Source organism: Homo sapiens, chromosome 5 (genome assembly GCF_000001405.40).
Source record: "Homo sapiens chromosome 5, GRCh38.p14 Primary Assembly".
Taxonomy (NCBI): domain Eukaryota; kingdom Metazoa; phylum Chordata; class Mammalia; order Primates; family Hominidae; genus Homo; species Homo sapiens.
The window spans coordinates 31,751,218-31,775,669 of record NC_000005.10 but is presented as its reverse complement, the minus strand read 5'-3'; the positions used below and the strand labels follow the sequence as shown (position 1 = coordinate 31,775,669).

The window sequence follows — 24,452 nt, the reverse complement described above, 5'->3', positions numbered from 1 at the left end:
CACACGCTCTGTGAGTGCAGCTCTCCACTCCCTCTTCCCCTTCCAATTTCCCAAAGCTCCCATTCAACAAGGAAAACATGGATCTGATTATGAGGTTTGACTTGGGCCAAACAGTTGCAGCCCTACTCTCATCAGGCAGACTGGAGTAGGGACAAATTTCCATCAGAAAGGCCAAGGGAAATGAGTGACAAGTATAGAACTGAGCTGGCTGGGCCAAGGAGAAGGAGCTGCAAAGGAGAAAATTGTCTCTATTACGTCAAATCCGTCCTCAGATAATGAACTGCCAAGCCGCCACATGCTTCTGCAGCATCACATTAATCTTTTTTTTTTTTTCAATTACATCTCTATTCCAGCCACCTAATAAAAAAGTGTGGATCCACTCCCCACTCAGACAAGGATCTATGGAACATGAGAAACAGGCAAATTCTAACTAGAGGACAGTATTTACAATCGGTTCCAGATTCCCAAAGGAAAACAATTTTGACTCAAATAAGTAATTTGAGAAAGACAACTTTTGAAAAGTTTAGGCATGAAGACGTTTGTACTATAGCGTGAGGAAGAAAGGCTAATTAGAAAACAAAATGTAGTTGGCAGCCTGCTGGAGTTGGCTCTCGATGTTTCCCAAGAGCTGATTGTTAAAATTTCAGGAAGTTTGCAAGCTGGTTGACATCATGTTGATACTTTGAAACCAGCCATGGTGGGAGTGTTTACACCACAGAAATTGGCAAATGCTACAAATCAGGATGGCCCCTCCCTGCCAGCCATTTGTTAAACATTTAACAGCACACTAAGGAGTATGATCCCTTTCCATTTTTAAAGTTCTATTTATATACACATTGGTGTATGTGTAAAAAGTCAGGAAGTAAAATAGCTAAAACATTAAAACACTAACTGTTTTCATTCTGGGTGGTAAGACTAACAAGCAGTTTTTTGGTTTTTGTTTTTTTTTTGAGAGGGAGTTTTGCTCTTGTTTCACAGGCTGGAGTGCAAAGGTGGTGTGATCTTGGCTCACTGCAACCTCTGCCTCCCAGGTTCAAGCGATTCTCCTACCTCAGCCTCCCAAATAGCTGGGATTACAGGCGTGCACCACCACACCCGGCTACTTTTTTTGTATTTTTAGTCGAGATAGGGTTTCACCATGTTGGTCAGGCTGGTCTCGAACTCCTGACCTCACGTGATCTGCCTGCCTCAGTCTCCCAAAGTGCTGTGATTACAGGTATGAGCCACCACACCTAGCCACTAACAAGTAGTTTTTATCTTCTTTGTTTTCTTTTTTCTACAGTGAACCTGTATTCTCTGCACAATGATCAACTTTTTGGCAAAGGGGGTGGTTTCTTTCCCTTCTGAGCTCTGATTCACACCTTTCCTCATCTTTCTTTTATCTACTCCTGCCCTGGCCTCCCAGGTTTTTACCCTCTGTGTAGGGTGGTGCTCAAATCTGAACTACCCACCTACCCACAGGTCAAGTAGAACTCTGGGAAATAAGAACGGGTGAGCAGATGCCAGGCTCCAGGAAGACACAGCCCCAGCTCAGCCCACACCAGGCTTAGGGCTGGGGTGAGCTGGCTTCTGGACCTCTGCTCTGGGCATAAAGCTGTTATTGGTGATTTAACAAAGGAGGGATGAACAGCTGGGGAGAATAGGAGTCACTGCCCAGGTCACCCTGGGACTCTGTGGCTGGAACACCATTCCTCTAGGTGTCGACATCGGTTTTCACCAGCTGCATGCTAGCTATTCCTGATGTCTGTAAAGCGGGTAGATCACTCTCAACACTCTTCCATCTATGATCTCACTGTATCCTTGCCATGATTGGGTGCTCTCCCAATTTAACAAATATGTAAACACGGTCCCAGAGAGCCCAAGTGACTTGTCTAAAGTCACACAGCCAGGAGCTGAGCTGGGACAATAATCCAGGTATTAATACTGAATTTCAGGCTTTTTTTCCACTAGACTGTCTCCCTCTCTCTGTCTCTCTCTCTTTCTAGGTAGATAAATCAATATATCTAAATAAATATTTTTTGAGACAGAGTCTTGCTCTGTCACCTAAGCTGCAGCGCTGTGGCATGGCCTTGGTTCACTGTAACCTCTGCCTCTTGGATTCAAGCGATTCTCCTGCCTCAGCCTCCAAGTAGCTGGGACTATAGACATGCGCCACCATGCTTCACTAATTTTTTTTTTTTTTTTTGTATTTTTAGTAGAGACAGGGTTTTGCCATGTTGGCCAGGCTGGTCTCGGGCTCCTGACCTCAAGTGTTCCACCAGCCTTGGCCTCCCAAAGGGCTGGGATTACAGGCATGAGCCACCGCGTCTGCCTTTCACTAGACTATATTGAATACATCATAAGACCCCAAATTTCTTGCTGAATAGTTAGAATGAAACTTGAGCTCCCATTGTCTCATGATTAAATAAGTCTAGGAGCTTTTTTGAGTAAAGGAAAGGGGCTACTAGCCCCAAGTTGACTTGGTTTTGGAACCAGTTTATGGTCTCTGCAGGAAAGTAAATAAAATTCTATCTTGTTTTTTCCTACTTCCTACATGCTCCCTGTACCAACGACTTTTGACTGTCGGGTGAATGTTGGTGTTACAGACATGTTGCTTCTCAATGGCTTTCACTTCCTAATCCCATAGACTGTGACTCTCAAGAACTACATGTTGCCTCCAAAGTCCTCTGTCTCACATGAACATGAGAAAGCCGGGACAGGAGGGGCTTTCTGACACTCCATGGAACCTTCTCAAGCAGACAGTGAGCAACACGTGTGTCTATACCATATAGTCCAGCTTCAATCAATGGTCTCCTTGCTCCAGTTACTCAGTTGAGCTGCAGAAACTTCTGGTTGGTCTGTGATTGATGGAAAGGCCTGATTCTGTGCAGATGTAATTCTTCTAAAAACAGGAGGTGCCCTCCAGGCACAAATGTCTAGGAAACCATGAAAATAAAAAGGCAGCACTGATTCCAAAGTCTTGTTGACCAAACTTTTAAGATAGAAATTTAAAATTTATCCATTCTAGTATATTCTAATGTTGCGTCTGGAAGGTCAAGGAACCACCTAGATCCGTAAGACAGGGGCCAAGTGGTTGGAGTTGAGGTGCCAGTTAGAAACAAATGCTTGTTCCTTGGTGCCAAAAAGGAGAACTAGCACTCAAAGAATTTTCTCAGGAAGGCAATTTTACTTCCACAGAAGGGTGCAACTCGCGGATGGGGCAATGGCGAGAGCACACCTGAACAACAGAGGGGAAGGGGTTCTTATTCCTGATGCAGGTAGCCCCTACTGCTGTGTTGTTCTCCTGTTGGCTAGGGTTGGACCACACAGTCTAAGCTAATTCCTATTGGCTATTTTAAAGAGAGCAAGGGTATGACCCAGAGTGGCGGGGTGAGCAGTTTGGCAGGAAAGACGGTTATAGAACAGGTAACTGAAGGTGACTTAGGTCAGAGCAGGTGACCAGGATGAGTTAGGATGGAGCTGGTGACCCGGGAAACAGATGTGAACTACTGATTAAAACTGGTGGAAAAGGTTGTTTACTCAAACTACGAGGAAGTTAAACTTCAAAATGGAGGACAAAGAACTGAACATTCTGACATACTGATTGTTTGAAGAGAAATTTAGAACTCACTATATCCATCATGCCCAATCCTGCTCCTCTCCCCACCCCCACACCAACCAGATGGGGCTTCTCCACCTTCATTGATTTACACATTGTGATTCCATATCAAAAATCTTAGTTTAAGAAAGGGTTCCAGTGCCTAAAAAGTAGTATATTTGAAAATCTCTCATCTAATCTAATTATCTCATTTAATAGGTTAAAAAAATTGAGGCCTAAGAAGGGAAAAGTCACCCAGGCAGTGAGTGAAGGAGCCAGGCCTGCCCACTAACTACATCCAATCACTCTTGCGTCAACTGTCCTTTACTAACCACACCCAATCACTCTTGCATCAACCGTCCTTTAACTTGCCAGGCAGTTAACCTTGGCCTCATGCAATCTTCCTGTCCTTCTGGTCTATCACACTGTTCTTGTTCTTGCTGATGAGTAAGTGATTGTTTTCAATTTGGGTCTGGGCTTCAGTACCTACACTGGCCTCCTTTTTGAGTTAGACCTCCTGTTCCTGGACCCTGGCCAATCCAACAGCAGACCTGCCAGACCTCATCTTAACTCCATACCCTCTGTCTCCCCCAACCACACAAATCTACACAGTGCACACACAATGCAAATCTACATAGATCTTGGTGGCCCTGAAAACTTCGAAAACACTCCCATCAGCCCAGGATGTAATAGACTTTAATAAACCCAGTGCCCCATGCATAGTAGGCACTGACTCAGTGTTACTAATGGTGCTGATGATAAGCTTAGGGATGACAGGTAGCATGCACAAGATAAATACCAAAGTATACTGCAACATCCACACAGACTGAGATCTCCCCTAGCTCTGAATAGTTACATGAATATTAAAATAGTCACAGACAGTCCCTGTATCACTCTTGATTTCCTGTTTTGTCAAATAGAAAGTAGCAGAACTATATCTGTTGTCACAGAGGTTCCCAATTTATAAACAGCAAATACATTAGACTCAAAGCTCATCCTGGGGCAGTTTCATTAAATCATGCTTATTTGCACATCCAAAGGATTTTCCCTTCATAAATTGCATCACGGTAGTCTTTCCATAAATAGCAAGCTTCCCTAATGATTCAACCATACATGCTTCTTTAGCAAAAAAAGCACACACATTTTCAAGACTACAACTCCTGCAAAACCTGAGGGGCACTTAAATGAAAAATAGAAGGGAAAAAAAAAGTAAAAAGACAGAAGATAAGACCTAGAGCTGAGGCCATTCATGGCATCTTGATTTTTTTTTTTCTAAATTTGAGGCTCTAAGAGAGCTGGAGCCACAGCAGAGAAACTGCCCTGGTTTGGTGCTTTGCACATAAAGCATCCCTCTGAACCCCAGTGTGTAGAGCTCTCCCAGCCGCTGGTTTCCATTTACATCAGGCTATTCTGGGGTGGCCATAGCTTGCTAGTAGCATCTCCTTCCAGGAATCTGGCCTGGACCAGGAAATCTCACAACCCTAAAGACCAACGGAATTAGAACATACTCTGGGTCCCCGGAGTATTGTAGTCCTGTTAATAATTCCTGACCCCACTGACAGCCAATGGCAGCCAATGAACTGGAAACTGGGGGTGACTCAGGGGTGACCTGGGATGGCAGCTACTCAGGATGAATTCTGCAACCTCAGACAAGCCCTCCAAATACTCTCTTCCAATCCAAAAGCCTGCCATTCAGCTGCAAATGAATTCTCTCTGAAGCACATATGGGGAATCCTATTCAATTGGTTCCGTCAGTTCCCGTTGTCTGGCAGTATCTCTGAGCCCAGCCCTGGGAGATTTTCTTTAAACCTGTGGGAGACCCGAGTGTGTGAGGATGGTGTCAGATCTCAAAACTCTGACACCATCGGTTTGGCTTAAGAAGCTGTGGTAGAACTAAATTATCTGACATTTTCTTCTTCATCCTCTTTTATTTTTCCTCCACAAACAGAACAAGCTCCAAATGTGACCTACTTTCCCTTTCTTTGTGATTATGCAGAACTCACAAAGCTTTTTCTTCAGCCTGACTAATATTTCCAGTGACATGCTTTTCATCTTTCGGAAAAGAAGAGTCTGCCTCAGGCTGCCAGAGAATCTAAGTGTTGGTGAGATGACCGAAGAGGACAGATGAGTTACAAAGACTTCACTTGGGGACTCATAAGACACTTTGACCTAGCACAAGAAAAAAACAAAACAAAACAATAACAAAATCCAGATTCCACCTCTTGAAAGTAATTAGCATTTAGTCTGAAAGTTTTCATCAACAAGAATACCATCAAGATGGTGTTGATGAGCTAAGTGACTCTGAAGTTCCTCACCACAACCCAAGTCCTGTAACTCTAGACTCTGTGGCCTCGGCCTGGAACCCTGCCACCCTCCAAAACCCACTCAGGCACTTCCAAATTCTGCATTTTGCATTAAAAATTAATTGACTTCTTCCAACTCTTCAGTGACTCAGAACACAACAGCGTTTCAAAGTATCAGGAGAAACAATTTAAAAATAAAAGCCAAGCACCTAGCTTAGGAGGAAACCGGGCTCTTTTAGGCAAAATTCAGCTGGTCTTGACTTTCCTCCACTATTTTTACCTTGGAGGCTGTGCATTTTTAAAACGTCTGATCTGCTGTCCTTTTCCCGACATTGAAATCCCAAATTACAATTCGTAATCGGGAAACATTTGCTTGGTGACTTTAGAAATGTCCCTGCTGGCCAGAAATTCTGGCACTAGGATTTTGAGCCAAAGCTTCTCTTTTATCCTCAGTGAGGTGAAACAGGTCCTGCTAAATGTTTACCAGACAAATTGCTCAAAACAGAAACAGACTTGCAACCTTGGGATCCAACTGCATTTGCTTCGATCCAGGTTTGTTCAGCTTCATGCCACCTTCGGGCTATCTGGTCAGTACGGACCTACACACAAGCCACATGGCTTGAAGGGTCTGGAAAAATCACTGTGTCCCAGTGGGGCTCTCCGGCTGCATCTGCCCTCGGCAATGCAGGGATGTGGATCTCCAGCGTCCTGAGCATCGTCTCCCCTGCAAACCGAATTCCATCCCCACTGCTGTTAAGTAGTTCAGTTCATTCACTCATTCATTCTGGACGAATTTACTGACACCTGGGGGCAGCATGGGCAACATGCAGGTGATGGAAACAGACATTGTCCCCACCTTTAGGAAATTTGTGAGGGTGATGAGAAAGACAAGGATTCCCAGTATTACCACAGCGAAGTTGGAGCGCTATTGGTTCTCAGCCTCTGCCTGTCCCTATTCCTACATGTGATCCCCTTACCCCTCCACCGCTGTCCCTGCTCCAGTGCCGCTAGAAATCTCTGGTGCAATCATGACATGAGGCAGGGATCACTGAAGAGCTGCTCAATGTCATACCCTTCGACCAGGCATCAGTTCAGCCTCATCACTGCTGAAGTCCTGATCTTGTGTCTCAGTTTTTTTTTTTTTTTTTTGAGACAGAGTCTCGCTCTGTTGCCCAGCTGGAGTGCAGTGGCACAATATTGGCTCACTGCAACCTCCGCCTCCTGGGTTCAAGCAATTCTCTTGCTTCAGCCTCCCAAGTAGCTGGGACTACAGGTACGTGCCACCATGCCCAGCTAATTTTTTGTATTTTTAGTAGAGACGGGGTTTCACTATGTTGGCCAGGCTAGTCTCAAACTCCTGACCTTGTGATCCACCCACCTCAGGCTCCCAAAGTGCTGGGATTACAGACATGAGCCACTGAGCCTGGCCTTTTGTCTCGGTTCTAATCCCTGAAGCCTCATCTATCTCTAGTTCCCACTGCAGCATCCAGAATATCGCCCTGTCCCTTGGGCTGATGGCTGGAGTGTGTTGCAAGCTGCCTGCTCGCCTGCCTTTCACGGAGTTCCCAGCCTTTGGAGACTCTGGTGCCAACTGTTTGCCTGAACCACAGCGTGCTGTTGCTAAACCTCTTTGACGTGAGACTTTGCCTACCCCACCTCACTGGAGAGACCTAACTCCAGGTCCCAGTTCTGTGTAGTTGGTGCCTCTCATCCTCTTGCCATTGGCTGGGCCAAGCCTCTAGATGTGGTGACAATCCTGGAAGGAAGAGCTGACCTCACAGGTGGAAAGCCTGGCTGGTAAAAAAGACACTGTTCCAAAGGAATGATCTGGTTGTTCCCAATTTATCACTTTGCTTTCAAGTATGTTACCAAAAAATATTTGGCAAGGAATAGGCCAATTCAAAATTGGACAAAGTGAAAATGACTAAATAGCAGTTGGCAGAAGAGGCCTGAATAAATCCTTTTAAGGAGTATGGATCAAGGAGAGACTAGGGACAGGCCAGGAACCTTGTTCTCAGGCTCAAAGGAGGCCATGCATGGAAACTGAGGGGCCTGGGCAATTGCTTCAAGTCTGCAGGCCCCATCAATATTGCAGAGGAGATGGCCATCTGAAAACTTTACATAGTCTCCATCTTACGTTGACGGACTGATCTTTTATAAAATGTGGTCAGAAATGGGTCAATTACCTCAAAAATCATCCTGTAAAGGAGAAATGACTACAAGATATGAGTCATCTGGTTTGAAACATCAACAGAAAAATGAAGGTCTTGGAAATGAGGAACAGGTATACAGCAGCAAAACATGTGATACTGAAAAACAGTTCCAAGAGCTGCCTTCCTGAAACGGGTGACCATTGGCAGACACATCTGAGAACTGCCGTCTACCACATGGTCTTCTTCAAGGCATCATTCCTGTTGAAGTCTCTGAGAAGTCCTGTATGGTTAAAAGCTGTTTAAGGGGTTGGGCGTGGTGGCTCACGCCTGTAATCCCAGCACTTTGGGAGGCCGAGGTGGGTGGATCACTTGAGTTCAGGAGTTGGAGCCCAGCCTGGCCAACAGGGTGAAACCCCGTCTCTACGAAAAATACAAAAATTAGCTGGGCATGGTGGCGGGCACCTGTAATCCCAGCTACTCGGGAGGCTACGGCAGGAGAATCGCTTGAACCCAGAGGGCAGAGGTTGCAGTGAGCCAAGATCTCGCCACTGCACTCCAGTCTCCACTGAGACACAGTGAGACTCTGTCTCAAAAAAAAAAAAAAAAAAAGGCTGGGTGCAGTTGCTCACACCTGTAATCCCCCAGCACTTTGGGAGGCAGGTGGGTGGATCACCTGAGGTCAGGAGTTGGAGAACAGCCTGCCCAACATGATGAAACCCAGTCTCTACTAAAAATATAAAAATTAGCTGGGTGTGTGGTGGGCACTTTAATTGCAGCTACTCAGGAGGCTGAGGCAGGAGAATCACTTGAACCCAGGAGGCAGAGGTTGCAGTGAGCTGAGATGCGCCATTGCACTCCAGCCTGGGAGACAAGAGCGAAACTCTGTCTCAAAAAAAAAAAAAAATTCTGCTTAAGGTTTAAAAAAGAACTTATGAATCTTATGTAGGTTGGGTGCTGTGGCTCACACCTGTAATCCCAGCACTTTGGGAGGCTGAGGCGGGCAGATGTCTTAAGCCCAAGAGTTAGAGGCCAGCCTAGGCAACATGGTGAAACCCCATCTCTACTAAAAATTCAAAAAAATTATGCAGGGATGGTGGCATACACTTGTAGTCCCACCTACTCGGGGATGATGGGGCTGAGGTGGGAGGATCATCTGAGGCTATAGAGGTCAAGGTTGTAGTGAGCCATGATCCCGCACCACTGCACTCCAGCCTAGGCGGCAGAGTGAGACACCATCTCAAAAAATAAAATAAGATAAAATGAATACAATAATAAAAAAGAAACTTATTTGACCATGGACTTCTTTTTTTATATTAGCATCTTCAAATATGGACATCTGAGTTTCACACTGTAGAAAACAATACTATAAAGGGAATACTTTTGTTTGTTTTTTCCTGACATAAAGCAGTGTCCAGCAAAAACCAATCAGGCAGAATTTTTGTTTGTTTGTTTGTTTTGAGACAGGGTCTCACTCTGTTGCCTAGGCTGGAGTGCAATACCCTGATCACTGCTCACTGCAGCCTCAGCCTCCTGGGCTCAGGTAATTCTTCCACCCCAGCCCCCTGAGTAGCTGGGACTACAGGTGTGCACCACCATGCCCAGCTAATTTTTGTAATTTTTTGTAGAGATAGGGTTTTGCCATGTTGCCCAGGCTGGTCTTGAACCCTTGAACCCTTGGTTCAAGTGATCCACCTGCCTCAGTCTCCCAAAGTGCTAGGATTACAAGCATGAGCCACCACGCCTGGTCTCAGAATCTTAATTTACCATTTTAAAATCTAAGCAGCAGCTCACGACTAGCCACATATTCAAAGATTCGTCTACCTTGGTCTTCTTTCTTACCCATTGACTCTTGAGGCCCTGCAAAGGTCCCATCCAGCTAGGGAAGTGGTGACCACTTTTCATGGGGCCCCAGGACACACAGCATGCTGTCAGCAAACTGACCAACACAGAACTAAATCACAGTGATGTCTTCCGGCCTCAGGGATGCGCCTCTGCTAGTTTGGAGATGGTTTGGGGACAACTAATTGCTTTTCAGCTCAGGCTACACAGCTTTCTCACTTCCATTATTCCCCAGAGCCATATTTTCCCGAGCTACATTTTTCAGATAATAGAGCCAGAGGAAGACAGAAAGAGAGAGAGAACAGGGGCGGGCAGGAAATTGATTTTTATCTTCATTAGAAGTTTTAGAAGTTAAGTTACCATCTTCAAAATCCTTCACTTAAAACAATAAGCAGTCCTTTCCCAATGGTAGCTTTTGGGCTTCAAGTTGAAGGTTGAGGCTGCAAACTAGAGGGAAGTGTGGTCACCGATGTTCTGGGAGGGAGGAAGAGCATCCTCCAGCGAGGAGTACATGTAGTTTCCTCTCCAGAGCTCTGACAATCTGGTTACCATTAGCAGTGGTGTTGAAGGAATGCCAGTGGTCCTCTGATGTGGCAGTGGATGAGGTCTGGGTTATAACTAGAGAGGGGGCTCCAGGAGAGAGTGCCATCAGCAATGGGCCTGAGAACCCCAATTTAGTCTCTGTCCTCTTCCTTTGGGTAATTCTTTTTTTTTTTTTCTTGAGACGCAGTCTTGCTCTGTGGCCCAGGCTGGAGTGCAGTAGCGTGATCTCGGCTCACTGCAAACTCCACCTCCCGGGTTCAAGCAATTCTCGTGCCTTAGCCTCCCGAGTAGCTGGGATTACAAGCATGTACCACCACGCCCAGAGAGTTTTTGTATTTTTAGTAGATACAGGGTTTTTCCGTGTTGGCCAGGCCGGTCTCGAACTCCTGACCTCAAATGATCCGCCTATCTTGGCCTCCCAAAGTGCTGGGATAACAGGTGTGAGCCACTGTGCCCGGCCCCTTTGGGCAATTCTGAAGCAATGGTAACAACCTTGCCAAGGCGATTCAGGAAAACTGGGCATCAGGGCATTTGCCAAAGGAACACATGATGAAAAACGGGAAGAGGAGGAAGACCCAGAACATGAGTCTGAGACAGCATGAAGTGGACATTGGAAAATACTGACATGGGAAAACTTTTTTTCAGGGAGGAGAGAATTCCTAGAAGAGGAAACAAAAGTCCTTTCTGCCATCAGATTTCCCGAACACTCCTAAAGAAGATGAAGAAAGTTTTGTTTGTTGTTCAAATCTTTAATGTGTACAGGAGGGCAGGAGGGGCTTTGACTCGAGGTTGCCCTACTTCTTAGAGGCAAATATTCCAGAAGTTCCAGGAGAGTTTTTGGACATCTGATCTAGAGGCAAATCCTCTAAGGGTTTATTTTCTATCCCTGATTCCTGAAGGTTTGAGAGGAAAAGTAAAGATGAAGGGGCGTGAAGGACGAAAACAGGAAATTAGCACTCTGAATCCCTCTAGAAAGACTATCATCTGGAGCTTCCAAATTGTTTTCACATCTGAAGGAAGGAAAATTCCATCTCTTTTACTTTGAGGGGTCAGAATCATGCTTTACTTTATCATGAGAAATGATGGGCTGATGCCGTGAAGGGAATGAGTGTGGATGGAAGCGTGTAAAAAGTTTCAGGTTCCCTGAGTCCCCGAGTTCCTCCTGAGCAGGATTGGGTGGACATCCGTGACGGGCAGCAGGTGCCCTCTCCTGCAGTTCTGCAGCTTGTCTTCCAGAGGAATTCCACGGCCAGACCATCCCATTCGTATATAATAAATAACCTTCTGGGCTTAGCTATTTTGGTGCCTTCAGTCAAGTCAGAGCCCGAGCTCACTACTCTCAGAGATTAAAGGTCTACACTATGACTTTTTTTTTTTTTTTTTTAATCAGAGGGCTCCCTCCTCTCCTTTACTTTCAAATTCTTTGTATTTTCAGATCCTTTGAAGACTGCTTGCAGTTGGCCATTTCCAGCTTGATGTCAGATGACCAGCTTTGATGAGGCTGGTGAAGCGCTCACCTGAGGTATAGGAGCCTCTGGTTTCTGGATTTTTCACAAAGAGAACTGGTCTGCATGGTGCTGAGTCACTGTCTCCATGCCAGGAAAGAGGGTCTGGGGCTACCTCTTCTGCTTTCTTGATGACGTCACAACCTCTCAGTCTCTTCTTCTCAATGTTCCACGTTCTCAACTTCAAATTATATGTAAGAACACATACGCATCATTCAAATTCCAGTGATGAATTTGCCAAAGTGGTTCCTTCCTTCCATTGTGGCTCGTAAACATCATTCTGTCCTTGCGGTAGGTGGTTATTTTGTTGAGGTTCATGAGTTTCTTTATTTCTTGTGGGTCTGTTCTAAACAAGAAACTGCACACACGCAAGGACAGAGGCTCATGGCTGAGGTAGACAGTGTGCCGCATGCTGGGGACTGGCTAGGGGAAAGGGTTTTCTTAGGATACTGTCATCCTGACCGCCTGATACCGGAGGCCCTAGGGACTGTGGCCCCTGGCAGGGAGGTGCTCTGTGGGCAGGAGCTGGGGGCCTGCTGATGCTGGCAAGGTTCACTGATGCTAAGAGCTCCTGAGGGCTAGACTCAGAGCCCTGCAGCTTCCAAAAACACAGATAATGACATCTCAGTCACTGCCCTCACAAACCAGTAACTCTTAATCAAACGAAAAAGGCATTTCCGATTTCTAGTAACTCCCTAAAGTGCTTTAAAAAATCACATTCTTAATTAACCACTCTACTGAGCTCCACCTTGATTTCAAGTCCAGTGATTCCCAGTTTGCTCATTGCTGAGGGGAAGTGTGTGGTGGAGGGGTCGGGGGCAGAAGAAGGGGCCAAAAATGCCTATAAATGTCAGGCCAAGTTGAAACAGCGGAAGGCAGCACTCCACAGGGGAAGGACACTAGAGACAGCAGACTGGATTACCTCTCAAATCCAACTCCCAATTTACAATATCCTCCCTCCCCAATCCTCAGATTACTTAATGGTTCCATCTAATGAGCTTTGATTTATGGCCAATTATTGCACTCAGCCCACTGTACTCAACAGCCGCCATGACACATGGCTTCCATGGAAGTTGATGCACAGCTGTGAACTGCTTCAAGTGTCAAACAGTCACACTGAAGGGAAGGCAAGGCCTGTGCTAGCATAAGAAGTGCCCATAGGAGCCAGGAGTGGTGACTCATGCCTGTAATCCCAGCACTTTGGGAGGCTGAGGCAGGCGGATCACCTGAGGTTAGGAGTTTGAGACTAGCCTGACCAACATGGTGAAACCCCATCTCTACCAAAAATACAAAAAGTAGGCGAGCGTGGTGGCTCATGCCTGTAATCCCAGCTACTTGGGAGGCTGAGGAAGGAGAATCGCTTGAACCCAGGAGGTGGAGGTTGTAGTGAGCTGAAATCGTGCCATTGCACTCACTCCAGCCTGGGCTACAAGAGTGAAACTTGGTCTCAAAACAACAACAACAACAACAACAACAAACAAAACCAAGTGCCCGTATCTCAGCTGTGGTTTCTGACCTTTTGGAAGGTAAACTGATGATATGGTTTGGATCTGTGTCCCAGCCCAAATCTCATGTTGAATTATAATCCCCAGTGTTGGAGGTGGAGCCTGGTAGGAGGGGATTAGACCAAGAGGGTGGAGTTCGCATGAATGGTTTAGCACCATTTCCTCCTTGGTACTGCAGAGTGAGTTCTCACCAGATCTGGTTGTTTAAAAGTGTGTGGCACCTTCCCCACCCTTCCTCCTGCATTAGCCATGTGAGGTGCTGGCTTCTCCTTCACCCTCCGCCATAATTGTAAGTTTTCTGTGGTCCCTCCCAGACGCCAGCATTATGCTTCCTGTACAGCCTACGGAACTGTGAGCCAATTAACCCTCTTTTTTTTTTTTTTTGAGATGTAGTTTTGCTCTGTCACCCAGGCTGGAGTGCAGCGGTGTGATCTTGGCTCACTGCAACCTCCACCTTCTGGGTTCAAGCGATTCTCCTGTCTCAGCCTCTCAAGTAGCTGGGATTACAGGCACCCACTACCATGCCCAGCTACTTTTTGTATTTTTAGTAGACATGGGCTTTCACCATGTTGGCCAGGCTGGTCTTGAACTCCCAATCTCAGGTGATCCGCCCACCTTGGCCTCCCAAAGTGCTGGGGTTATAGGCATGAGCCACTGTGCCTGGCCTAACCTTCTTTTCTTTATAAATTACCCAGTCTCAGGTATTTCCTCATAGCAATGTGAGACTGGACTATAATACAGTCTCATTTTTTTTCCCCCGAGAATACCAACATTCTCCTAATTATTCAAATTTCTTAGTGTCGTCTTTACTTTTAACTTTCTCCTTTTCCTTTATCCCCCAAGCCCTATGTCTTTGCTTTGGAACATTTCTCACGTTATCTTTTTATTTCTCTACTCCCGCTGCTACCATCCCATTTGGAAGAATCTGGATCCTCCCTTTCTCTCATCCTGCAGTCAGTCACCAAACTAATATTCCAGACTAAAACGCTGCTGCCCTTGTTATTTTTCCGTTTGGGTGACTTTTCACTGTGGTTGCTTTCCCATGTTATCTCCCTAAATGAAGAACCTACAACATCGCATTTGAATTTTCCATCCTGATATTCAAGACTCTTTACAGTTCAACCCCCACCTTTCCAACCTACAGCTCTTACACAGCACCACTCCCGTCACCACCACCCCTACTATGTGCCCCTCCCCACACGGAGTGAACACATTCCCACCTAGAGCTTCCGCCTGACTGTTGACTTCTAGAATGCTCTTCCTCCCTCCTCTACTCTTCCACTCAACAAATGTTTGCTTATTTATTTATTTATTATTTTTTTGAGACAGGGTCTCGCTCTCATCGCCCAGGCTGGAGTGCAGTGGCGTGATCTCGGGTCACTGCAACCTCTGCCTCGTGGGCTCAAGCAATTCTCCCACCTCAGCCTCCCAAGTAGCTGGGATTACAGGCATACACCACCGCATCTGGCTAATTTTGTATTTGTCATAGAGATGGGGGTTTCACCATGTTGGCTAGACTGGTCTTGAACTCCTGGTTTCAAGCGATCCGCCCGACTTGGCCTCTCAAAGTGCTGGGATTACAGGCATAAGCCACCACGCCTGGCCTCTCACTTAACAAATATTTATTGCAGTGACTCTGTGCTGGGGACTAAGTGCTTAGGATACATGAGTGGACAACATAAAGATCTCTCCCTGAGGATGCTGCCTTTCTATTGCTCTACAATCCACACCCATACCATTCTTTGAAATCTACCTCGAATCCCACTTTCTCCCAAAGATCTCCATGATAACCTAGGCATGTCTAATTTCTTCCTTATTTTTATAGTTCATGGTGCTTACTGTTGGCACTGTACACCTATGCTCACAATTTTATACTGCCTTGAATTGTTTTCTGATTATTCCTCTAGGCTTAGTTTCATGCAACTCCTGAAATTATTTCATGCCAGAAACTATGTTTGGTTCATTGTTGTTCAAGCACCTAGCATGCTGTCAGCACATTTCCTGAGAATCATGCTGAGTGCCCTGTAGATGCTCAGTAAATATGTGTTTTAATGCAATTGTGCCTGAGTTCAACATAAGAGCCATCAACGCAATGGCCACTTTATTAATTAAGGACAACTCTCCTCCCACTCTGGGTCTGCTTCCTTAAAGAGGTGCCAGCAAACACTCCCCACTCCTCCTCCCATCTGCTTTACCGGGAGCAGAACCTGAAGCTGCACCCCTGAGCTGCTCTGCAAATGCAGAGTCCTGAGGTTGGAAGATGCTGTGTAAACCATATCTCCTTTTGGAAATTCATAATACATGTATTCATTTTTGATGATCTTTTATCTGAAGGCATCAGAATGAATGACAAAGACACAGTCTTTGCTCTTACCAAACACACCCTATTAAGAGTTCTGAGGCCAGGCGCAGTGGCTCATGCCTGTAATCCCAACGCTTTGGGAGGCCGAGGTGAGAGGATCGCCTGAGGTCAGGAGTTTGAGACCAGCCTGGCCAACATGGTGAAACCCGTCTCTACTAAAAATACAAAAATTGACCAGGAGTGGTGGCATGCATCTGTAATCCCAGCTACTCAGGAGGCTGATGCAGGAGAATCGCTTGAACCTGGGAGGCAGAGGTTGCAGTGAGCTGATCTCAGCTGAGATCACACCACTGCACTCCAGCCTGGGCAACGGAGTGAGTCTCAAAAAAAAAAAAAAAAAAATAGTTCTGAGAAGTCCCTTGGCAAGGAGGTTTTGGGTATGTGTATCTGTGTTTTCCCAAACCATTCCCACCTCCCACTTTTGGAGAATCACCTAACAATGTTCCATGGGCCACATGTTGGCCTCTGACTACAGCGCCAGCAAATCAGGCTAAAGCAAAATTTAGGATGAAAGAGTAAAGAACTTATCTTTTAATTTCATACTAGGAAACTGCACTCCCCCCGAAGCCTCGAAGAGCCGGGTGTGTGTGCACTACCAGCTGTTCAAATGCATCCTTTTACAAACACTCTGTGGTTCTGAGCAGGGTGGTCACAATACACTTCAATCCTGCAGTAGCTAGTTCACGCTGTTCCTCCCCAGCTCCCAGAAATAACAACAATGGGAGGAGGTGGAGGAGGGGGTGGGCACGGCAAGGGGAGGTGGGGGCCGATGATGAGAAGTGCTGGCGTGGGGGAGCTCACCACTCCTGGGTTCTAAGAGTCTTGCTTATGGGGTTAAAATTGGGGCAGAGCTAATGGCTCATCCAGTGTGAGGACCTGTTGGAAATGGAGGTGGAAGAGGAGGAGGGAGTGGGAAACACAGCCAAGCAGGACCAGGAACACAGTGTAGCCAGGGAACGCATGTGGAGGCGGGTGCGGAACAGCAGGATGCTTTCTCTAACACTTTTTTTGCTCTACCATTTTGCTTTCAAAGCAGAGGCCATACACTTTCCATACTTTGGGAGGAAATGGGTAGATTCTGAAATGGACACATCTACCCACCTGGGGTGCTTTCTCCACCCTTCAAACTCTGGAGAATGAAGATGGAAGGGGCCAGGTTAAGATGAGGATGGAGGAAAGGGAGGGAGGAGGACTCTTCCAAGGAACACATCTTGGGAAACTCAAAATCAGAGGCATTTCTAAGTCCCTTCCTGCTTGAAGGTAATGCATGATTAAGGGTTTGTACCAGGCAGGCATGTGTAGGGCCCGAGCGTGAGAGTAGAATCTTCCGGGGCCCATCGGCCCAGTCATGTCCCTCCTCCCCTCTTAGTGCTTTCAGCCTAGAACCTGCGCCCACACCACATGTGCTGTCTGTCCCCCAGGGTAGGGCCTGGACGTGCTCCTTTGTGGTCCATTTCCAGGCCCCACATGCATCTGCTGAGCTCTGGGGCGCCCTTCATGGAGGCACCTCCCTGGCCTGTAAGGCTGCCCAACCCTCATTCCATCTCCAGTGCCATCGGCACTCTTTCCAGCAGTCACTGGGCACGACTTCCAAGGTGCTTTGAAGCATTCATGGACTGAACAAGATTTGTTGAGCCCCTGCTAAGTATCAGGCTCAGAGAAGACACAAAATACAAATGAGTTAAGGTCCAGGCTCTTGAAAAGTTTAGAATCCAGTGCGGTCCAGGGCAGGAGGAGGCATGCCCTGAGAGAGGCACCTGAAAAACCCTGGGAGCTCTTGGACGGAGCTGCCAGCGCCTGTCAGGCGAGACGTACAAAACAGATGAGCCCCGGCCTGGGCAGGGACTGCTGTGGGCAGAAGGGACCAGACATGTGGAATGAATTAGGGAGACAGACAAGAGCTGGAATTAACAGTGCAATAAAAACAAGAGTTAATTCACCCTCAGAAGCCAGAGCACTTTATAGGGCATGAAGCTGGGCTGGGCCCACAGAAAAACAATAGCCCAGCACAGCTGGTGCGGGTGGCTTTGCGGGGAGGGAAGGGGATAGAGTTGGTGTTGACCTCACAGGTGGCAAATGACAGCCTGGACAGGGAAGGTGTCTCCAGTGTTTTGACTTGTCCTGAGCCCATAACAAAACCACCTGTGACCATTCTCTTTCACTTAAGACTCTTTAAGAATGTGCTGAGCTATTCAGGAGCGTCACCTCAGCCAATTAGCCAGCGTCACCTCAGCCAATTAGCCACACTAGCCACTGAGCACTTCCATTCACATATTCTTTTTTTTTTTTTTGAGGCAGAGTCTCGCTCTGTCTCCCAGGCTGGAGTGCACTGGCGCAATCTCGGCTCACTGCAAGCTCCGCCTCTCAGGTTTATGCCATTCTCCTGCCTCAGCCTCTTGAGTAGCTGGGACTACAGGTGTCCGCCACCACGCCCGGCTAATTTTTTTGTATTTTTCTTAGAGATGGGGTTTCACCGTGTTAGCCAGGATGGTCTTGATCTCCTGACCTCATGATCTGCTCGCCTCGGCCTCCCAAAGTGCTGGGATTACCGGCGTGAGCCACCGTGCCTGGCCTTTTATTTGTTTGTTTGTTTTAAATGAGAAGAGGACTCATCTGTCATCCAGTTTGGAGTGCAGTAGTGCGGTCATAGCTCACTGCAGCCTGGAGCTCCTGGGCTCAAGCAATCCTCCTGTCTCGGCCTCCTGAGTAGCTGGGATTATAGGCATGCACCACCATGCCCAGCTAATTTTTAAAAATGTTTTGTAGAGACAGGGTCTTGCTATGTTGCTTAGACTGGTCTCAAACTCCTGGCCTCACGTGATCCTCCCACTGCATCCTCCCAAAGTGCTGGGATTACAGGCATGAACCGCCCGACCCAGCCACATATTCTTAATATGCTGTAACTACAGGCCCTGGCCAACTGTGGACACAAAATTAAATTCCAAAATGTATATAGTGGTGTTTTTGCTTTGTTTCTTTATTCATATTTGCTTAATTAACTGGATTCCTCATAGCACTGTCTCTTCCAATGCCTGCCCTAGGGCTTGTGTGTCTTTTGCATGGCGCCCAGCAGGGCCAACTTAGAAGAAATTGGGCCTTCCCCACATGTAAGGCAGTGCAGGTGTCCAGTGGTGCCTGGCAGGGCTGTGGATACTGAGCCAGCACAGTGTCGCCCAGACCATCTCTGCCAGGGTCCCAGCTGTCACACTGCCACCACCTTTACCCAGCTCCTATGTTCATCCCCCTGTTCACTCTGTGGGGTGCCCAGGATCCTATAATCCATTCTCTTTCTGCTCTGAGTATCCAGAGGAGGTCTGGTATCCACCAAGCACTAGAGTGTCCCCATAGCTCCCCCAGCCACAGGCCCACAGTGGCCACAGGACTTCTTGTGGGCCCAAGGACATGGCTGATGAGTGCTGCTAGGAGGTCTTGCCAAGCTCCTCTATCCCTTCCTTTTATTTAATTACTCACAAATATGAATGAATAAGAATACGCATTGGTAGTGCTGGGAATGTGGTGCTGAACAAACTAGAAATGGTCCTTATCCTCAGAGAGAAGACAGCTTCTGGATCTTTCTCTGAGTGCACACTGGCCTTTAGGAAAAGTCTGACGTTTTCTAAGCCACCTTCACTCCAGGCCGCATCTCAAGCATCTCTTATGTTAGAGGTGAGTGCATGACCTGGAGCCAGGCACAGGCACCCCCGGGTCCTGGAGGGGCCGGGGCTTCTGCGTTTCCCCGTTCCATCCTTTCTGAGTGCTGTCCTTGCCTTCCTCATCATGACTGACCTTTCGGGTGTCCCATTCCTCTACAGGCCAGGCATTTCTGGAGGTCTAAATTGCAGCCCTTCACACATCAGTGGTCAGCACATTTTCAAGCCTTTTAAAGACATCTGAAGGCAGTTTTCTGTAGCAAATACCGAGACCCAATAACACTAGGAGTTGGAGTCAATGAGGGCTGTTGTCTATTGCCAAGGCCACGTCTAACTCTTAAGAGCAGTAAATACATAGCCTTTTACTCCGCTGCTTGGCCCCGCTCCTCCTCTCTCCTGCCCACTCATGACATAGCCCAGCCAGGCCACGTTCATCAGCTGTTAATAGCTGCCATTTAGAAGCTTTTATTCCATTTCACAGAGAGATGAGCAAATTTTGTTTCAGGAAAAGAGGGGCATGTTTTCCCTTATCAATGAATCTATTACTTATGTTAGATTCAGTCCTTTTTAAAGATGTTTACTTTGAGGAAACAAAAGCTGCAAAAAAAAAAAAAAAGACACACCACCTAAAGATTAAAAAAAAATTAAGTGATCTAGATAGCTAACGTTTACTGATGCGTGGAGTTGGAGCCTCCAGGAACAAAGCGTACTCATTCGAGGAGAGAGAGAAGCAGAATACAGCCATCTGATTAGCTTTGTTGTAGGTGACATTTGTACAAAATGGGATATCCTACGCCAACTACCTTCAAACTGTGCAAGCGCCACCGCCCCCCACCCCGAAATGCCGGTTAAAATGGCCATTGCCGACTTCCAAGCCCAAAGAAACCTCTTCAGGCTTAATGTTTCTGTTTTTACCCCTACCCATTCTTCCCATGTTATAATTTGCTCCCATCCATAACAGAAACAAAAAAACATCCAGAAACAGGGGTCGAAGCAAAGGCAGCTCAGAAACCAGCAAAATTAGGAGCTGTTTGTCATCGGTGGGGAACCAGACCACGAGTTCTGAGCATCTGCGGTTTGTCCAGAGGGTGGACCCTGGGAAACCTACACAAGGCGGCCATCAGTCGGCCACGGGTTGCTGCTGCCCTGTCATTGCCTGTGCTGCCTGTAATTTTCAAGCAGGATGCCCCACATCACACAACATCAACATCCTTCTCTGCGCTTTTTATAACATCAATGTTGAGTTTTTGCTGAACAAGCCCTCACTTGTCCAAGCCTCAGTTAGTCTGTTGTATAACATATGTAGATTGGTATTTTTATTGACTTTTGAAACACACCAAATGTTGTTCTAGGAGGAGTTTCATGTCATTTCACAGAAACACTTAGGTTATGCATTGCAAGCACCGGAAGGGACTTTCGTGGTCCTGTAATTTAACCTACTTATCTAGCCAGTGTGGAAATGAGGCCAGGAGAAGTGAGTGAGTATCTGATCTAAGTATACACAGATCTTTCCAGAAAGAGTCACAATCAAAATTCAGGCTCTCTGACTTCTGAACCAGAGCTTTTTTTACTCAAGGAGACCAAAGAAAAGACTTAATCTTTTAAAGGCATGCTCTACTGGCTGTAAGAAAAAAGGAGAGAAAATTACTTAAAATACACAAAGAAGCTGGAAGCCTGATGATAGCCAATTAAGTTAATACACCCTCCTAATTAAACCTTCTCCACAGAAACCAAATTGTGGAATTTGAGTTCCTTGCGTCTCTTCCAATAGAATCCCTAATGAGCCGTGGGGAGACCCAAAGGTGAAGGAGAGGAAAAAGACAACCGAGAGCCTCGAAAATTCAGCCTCAGACCCTTCATGCCTGGGGCACAAAGGGATGCCCATCATCCGCCCTCTCCTCCGACGGCCCATGGCTACAGGGGGGCATCTGATCTCTCATCCCTGTGGTTCCATATCAGGATGGGGTGGGGGTGCACAGGTCCCTCAGCTGTCCCCTCCTGAAGAGGGCGCGAGGATCAATGAGTGACTGGTTGCCAAGGGCTGCAGGCAGAGGCTGCAAGGCACCACGTTGAGCCCAACATCATTATTATTAAACCTACAATTTAAACTCAATTATACTTTACAGAAGGCTGCAGCCTCCATTTAAACCACTCCTGGAGGAAAAGAAAAAGCCTGTGATACAGAGTTCAAGGCAAACTAGAGAAGCATTTATGCCACATGAAGCTGGGATTCGGGCTTACAATAATGATAGTAACCCTGGGGTTCTTACTCAGAGGGAAGCAGAACAATGGGATGCTAATGCTGGAGAATAAAAACAAGATGCAGACATCCTCCTTGTAGGAGAAGCATCTAGATGTCCTGGAGATTTTGAAATAAGTTTATTTATCTTCCTCAGCGGGAGAAGGCCTAACACCTCTGTGAGGTCTCAAACTGGTAACAGGGCTTTCCCAGTGATGCTGCCTGAAAAGAAAAGAATGGAATCACTTGCTAACATCTAGAAATCAGGATGTCCACGCAAAAAGACTTAATTTGCAGCCTCTCTCGAAAAATCTATTATCCAGCAATACTGTGGGTTATCTGGAGCCAAACTTCGCTGTTTGTTTGTTTGTTTGTTTATTTATTTATTTATTTGAGACAGAGTCTCACTCTGTTGCCCAGGCTGGAATGCAGTAGTGCAACCTCAGCCCACTGCAACCTCCACCTCCCTGGATTCAAGCAATTCTTGTGCCTCAGCCTCCTGAGTAGCTGAGACTACAGGTGCGTGCCACTATGCCCAGCTAATTTTTGTATTTGTAGAGATAGGGTTTTGCCATGTTGGCTAGGCTGGTCTTGAACTCGTGACCTAAAGTGATCCGCCCTGCTGGCAACTTTAGATGAATGAATGGGGCACAGGCTCTCTTATTTACCCCAGTCTCCACCACTCCCTATTGCCTCCTGGCATAGAAAACCTGCATCCGTGCCCCTCATCATGCACGTATGCTTTTGTCTTGTGCTTTTGCTTAAAGAGCGTTATGAAGAAAGTGAAATCTGTCTTACAATGGTACCTCTATAAAAATTTTTCTTATATTTATCTCACTTCATTTATTTATGTTATCCACCTGATACCTCATAGACATTTAATTATTTGATTTCTAATCAAAATTTCCTTCAGGAGACAAGTGTCCTACAGCAGCTGCTGAAAATACCAATCATAAGGAAAGTCCATTTTAATTCAAATAATAATCATCAAGTGCCTACTAGGGTCAAGAGGCTGTGCTGGCCTTGGAGGAGGGGTTCAAGGATAACTAAGGCCCATGGCTTTCACTGTGAGCATTTCAGCTCAGAAGACTGGGTATGATCGTTGAGAAGATGTTGGCATAAGAAAGGCACCAACCACTATGGGGTTCAGAGGAGGAAGCAACCACATCTGGCTGAGACATCAGGAAAACCATATCTAAGAAATAGTATTTGAAACAGGCTTCAAAGAAGGGGTGATATCTTGACAAGTAAATAAGAAAATCAAGAGAAACCTGCTCAAGGACAAGCATGGTGGCTCATGCCTATAATCCCAGCACTTTGGAAGGCTGAGGTATCAGCATCAGTTGAGCTCAGGAGTTCGAGACCAGCCTGAGCAACATAAGGAGACTCCATCTCTGGGGGGGAAAAAAAAACGCCTATTTTATTTTATTTATTTATTTATTTTTGAGACAGAGTGACCCTGTGTTGCCCAGGCTGGAGTGCAGTGGCACGATCTCAGCTCACTGAAACCTCTGCCTCCCAGGTTCAAGAGATTCTCCTGCCTCAGCCTCCCGAGTAGCTGCGACTACAGGTGTCCACCACCACGTCTGGCTAATTTTTGTATTTTTAGTAGAGATGGGATTTCACCATGTTGGCCAGCCTGGTCTTGAACTCTTGACCTCAGGTGATTCGCCTGCCCTGGCCTCCCAAAGCGCTGGGATTACAGGCATGAGCCACCGTGCCCAGCCTCAACAAAAAAATTTTAAAAACTAGCCGGGCATGGTGGCACATACCTGTACTCCTGGCTACTTGGGAGGTTGAGGTAGGAGGATCACTTGAGTCCAGGAGGTCGAGGTTGAAGTGAGCTATGACTACACCACTGCACTCCAGCCTAAGTGATTGATAAAGCAAGACCTTGTCTCAGAAAAAAAAAAAAAAAAACAAACCCAAAACAATAAAACAAACAAACAAAAAATACAAAGAGAGAGAGAGAAATCTGCTCGAGAGAAAATGAGGAGAGTATGTACAAAGGCAGAGAAGCATTGGGGTGCAGGGAACAGTGAGAAATCCTCCCTCAAAGATGGTTAAACTTGGAAAGGGAGGAGTTAGGCAGTTGAACTTCTGGATTCTGTTCCCACCTCCTCCCCCAGCCCAGCTTCAAAGAGGCAGAGGCGGCATCTTAACTACCTGATGACAGCTGAGTGATGCAGAAAGGCCACCCTCACAAAAATCTCATGCCTCAAGAGCACCCAAACCACCTCTCCCAGGATGCTGATGCCAAGGAACTGGGGGGCAGGCTCAGTGTTACCGATCCACAGTCCTGGCTGCTCATGTCCCCGGTATTTAATGCAGCACCAGCTGGGACCCAGGTCCCTGCTAGGGGTATACCTCATTATGAGGCATGGATCCTGCTTTCATCCAAAGGAAACTTACAAGCAGGAAATTAGCAAACACATGGGCTTACCATCATCTTTCCACGCAATTCCTGATATAAAAGCCTTAGAGTTCAGACTTGGCTCCCCACCTTATCCATCCTCAAAACCCAGTCTCTCACCTTCAAAATGCATCGTGGGTCCAAAGTCTTTTCATTGGCTTCATTGCTGTCATCATAGCACAAGCCCCCATCATTTCCCACCTAGACCTCTTAATTGCAAGGTCCCCTGCAAGGGCCTCTTAACTGATCTCCTTGCTCCTGCTCTAACCCCCATCGCCTATTCTCCACACTGGAGAAACGGTCAATTTAATCATGCCACTCTCTTTTTTTTTTTTTTTGGAGATGTACTTTCGCTCTTGTCAC

At 46.6% G+C, this 24,452-nt stretch overlaps 1 protein-coding gene across 6 annotated transcripts in view, besides 2 other annotated features; it reads right to left on the bottom strand.

Moving 5' to 3' along the window:
• PDZD2 (PDZ domain containing 2) overlaps positions 1–24,452 on the bottom strand; it is a 471,802-nt gene that overhangs the window by 335,263 nt on the left and 112,087 nt on the right. The window lies entirely within an intron of this gene.
• Positions 4,157–4,206: an enhancer, noted in NCBI's record as "active region_22434". NCBI's record gives its function as "activates an Ori minimal core promoter by ATAC-STARR-seq in GM12878 lymphoblastoid cells {active_cell/tissue: GM12878}" and the evidence as "EXISTENCE:reporter gene assay evidence [ECO:0000049][PMID:35858748]".
• Positions 21,502–22,035: an enhancer, noted in NCBI's record as "OCT4-NANOG hESC enhancer chr5:31753742-31754275 (GRCh37/hg19 assembly coordinates)". NCBI's record gives its function as "activates a minimal SCP1, AML or CMV promoter by ChIP-STARR-seq in naive H9 embryonic stem cells {active_cell/tissue: H9 hESC(naive)}" and the evidence as "EXISTENCE:reporter gene assay evidence [ECO:0000049][PMID:30033119]".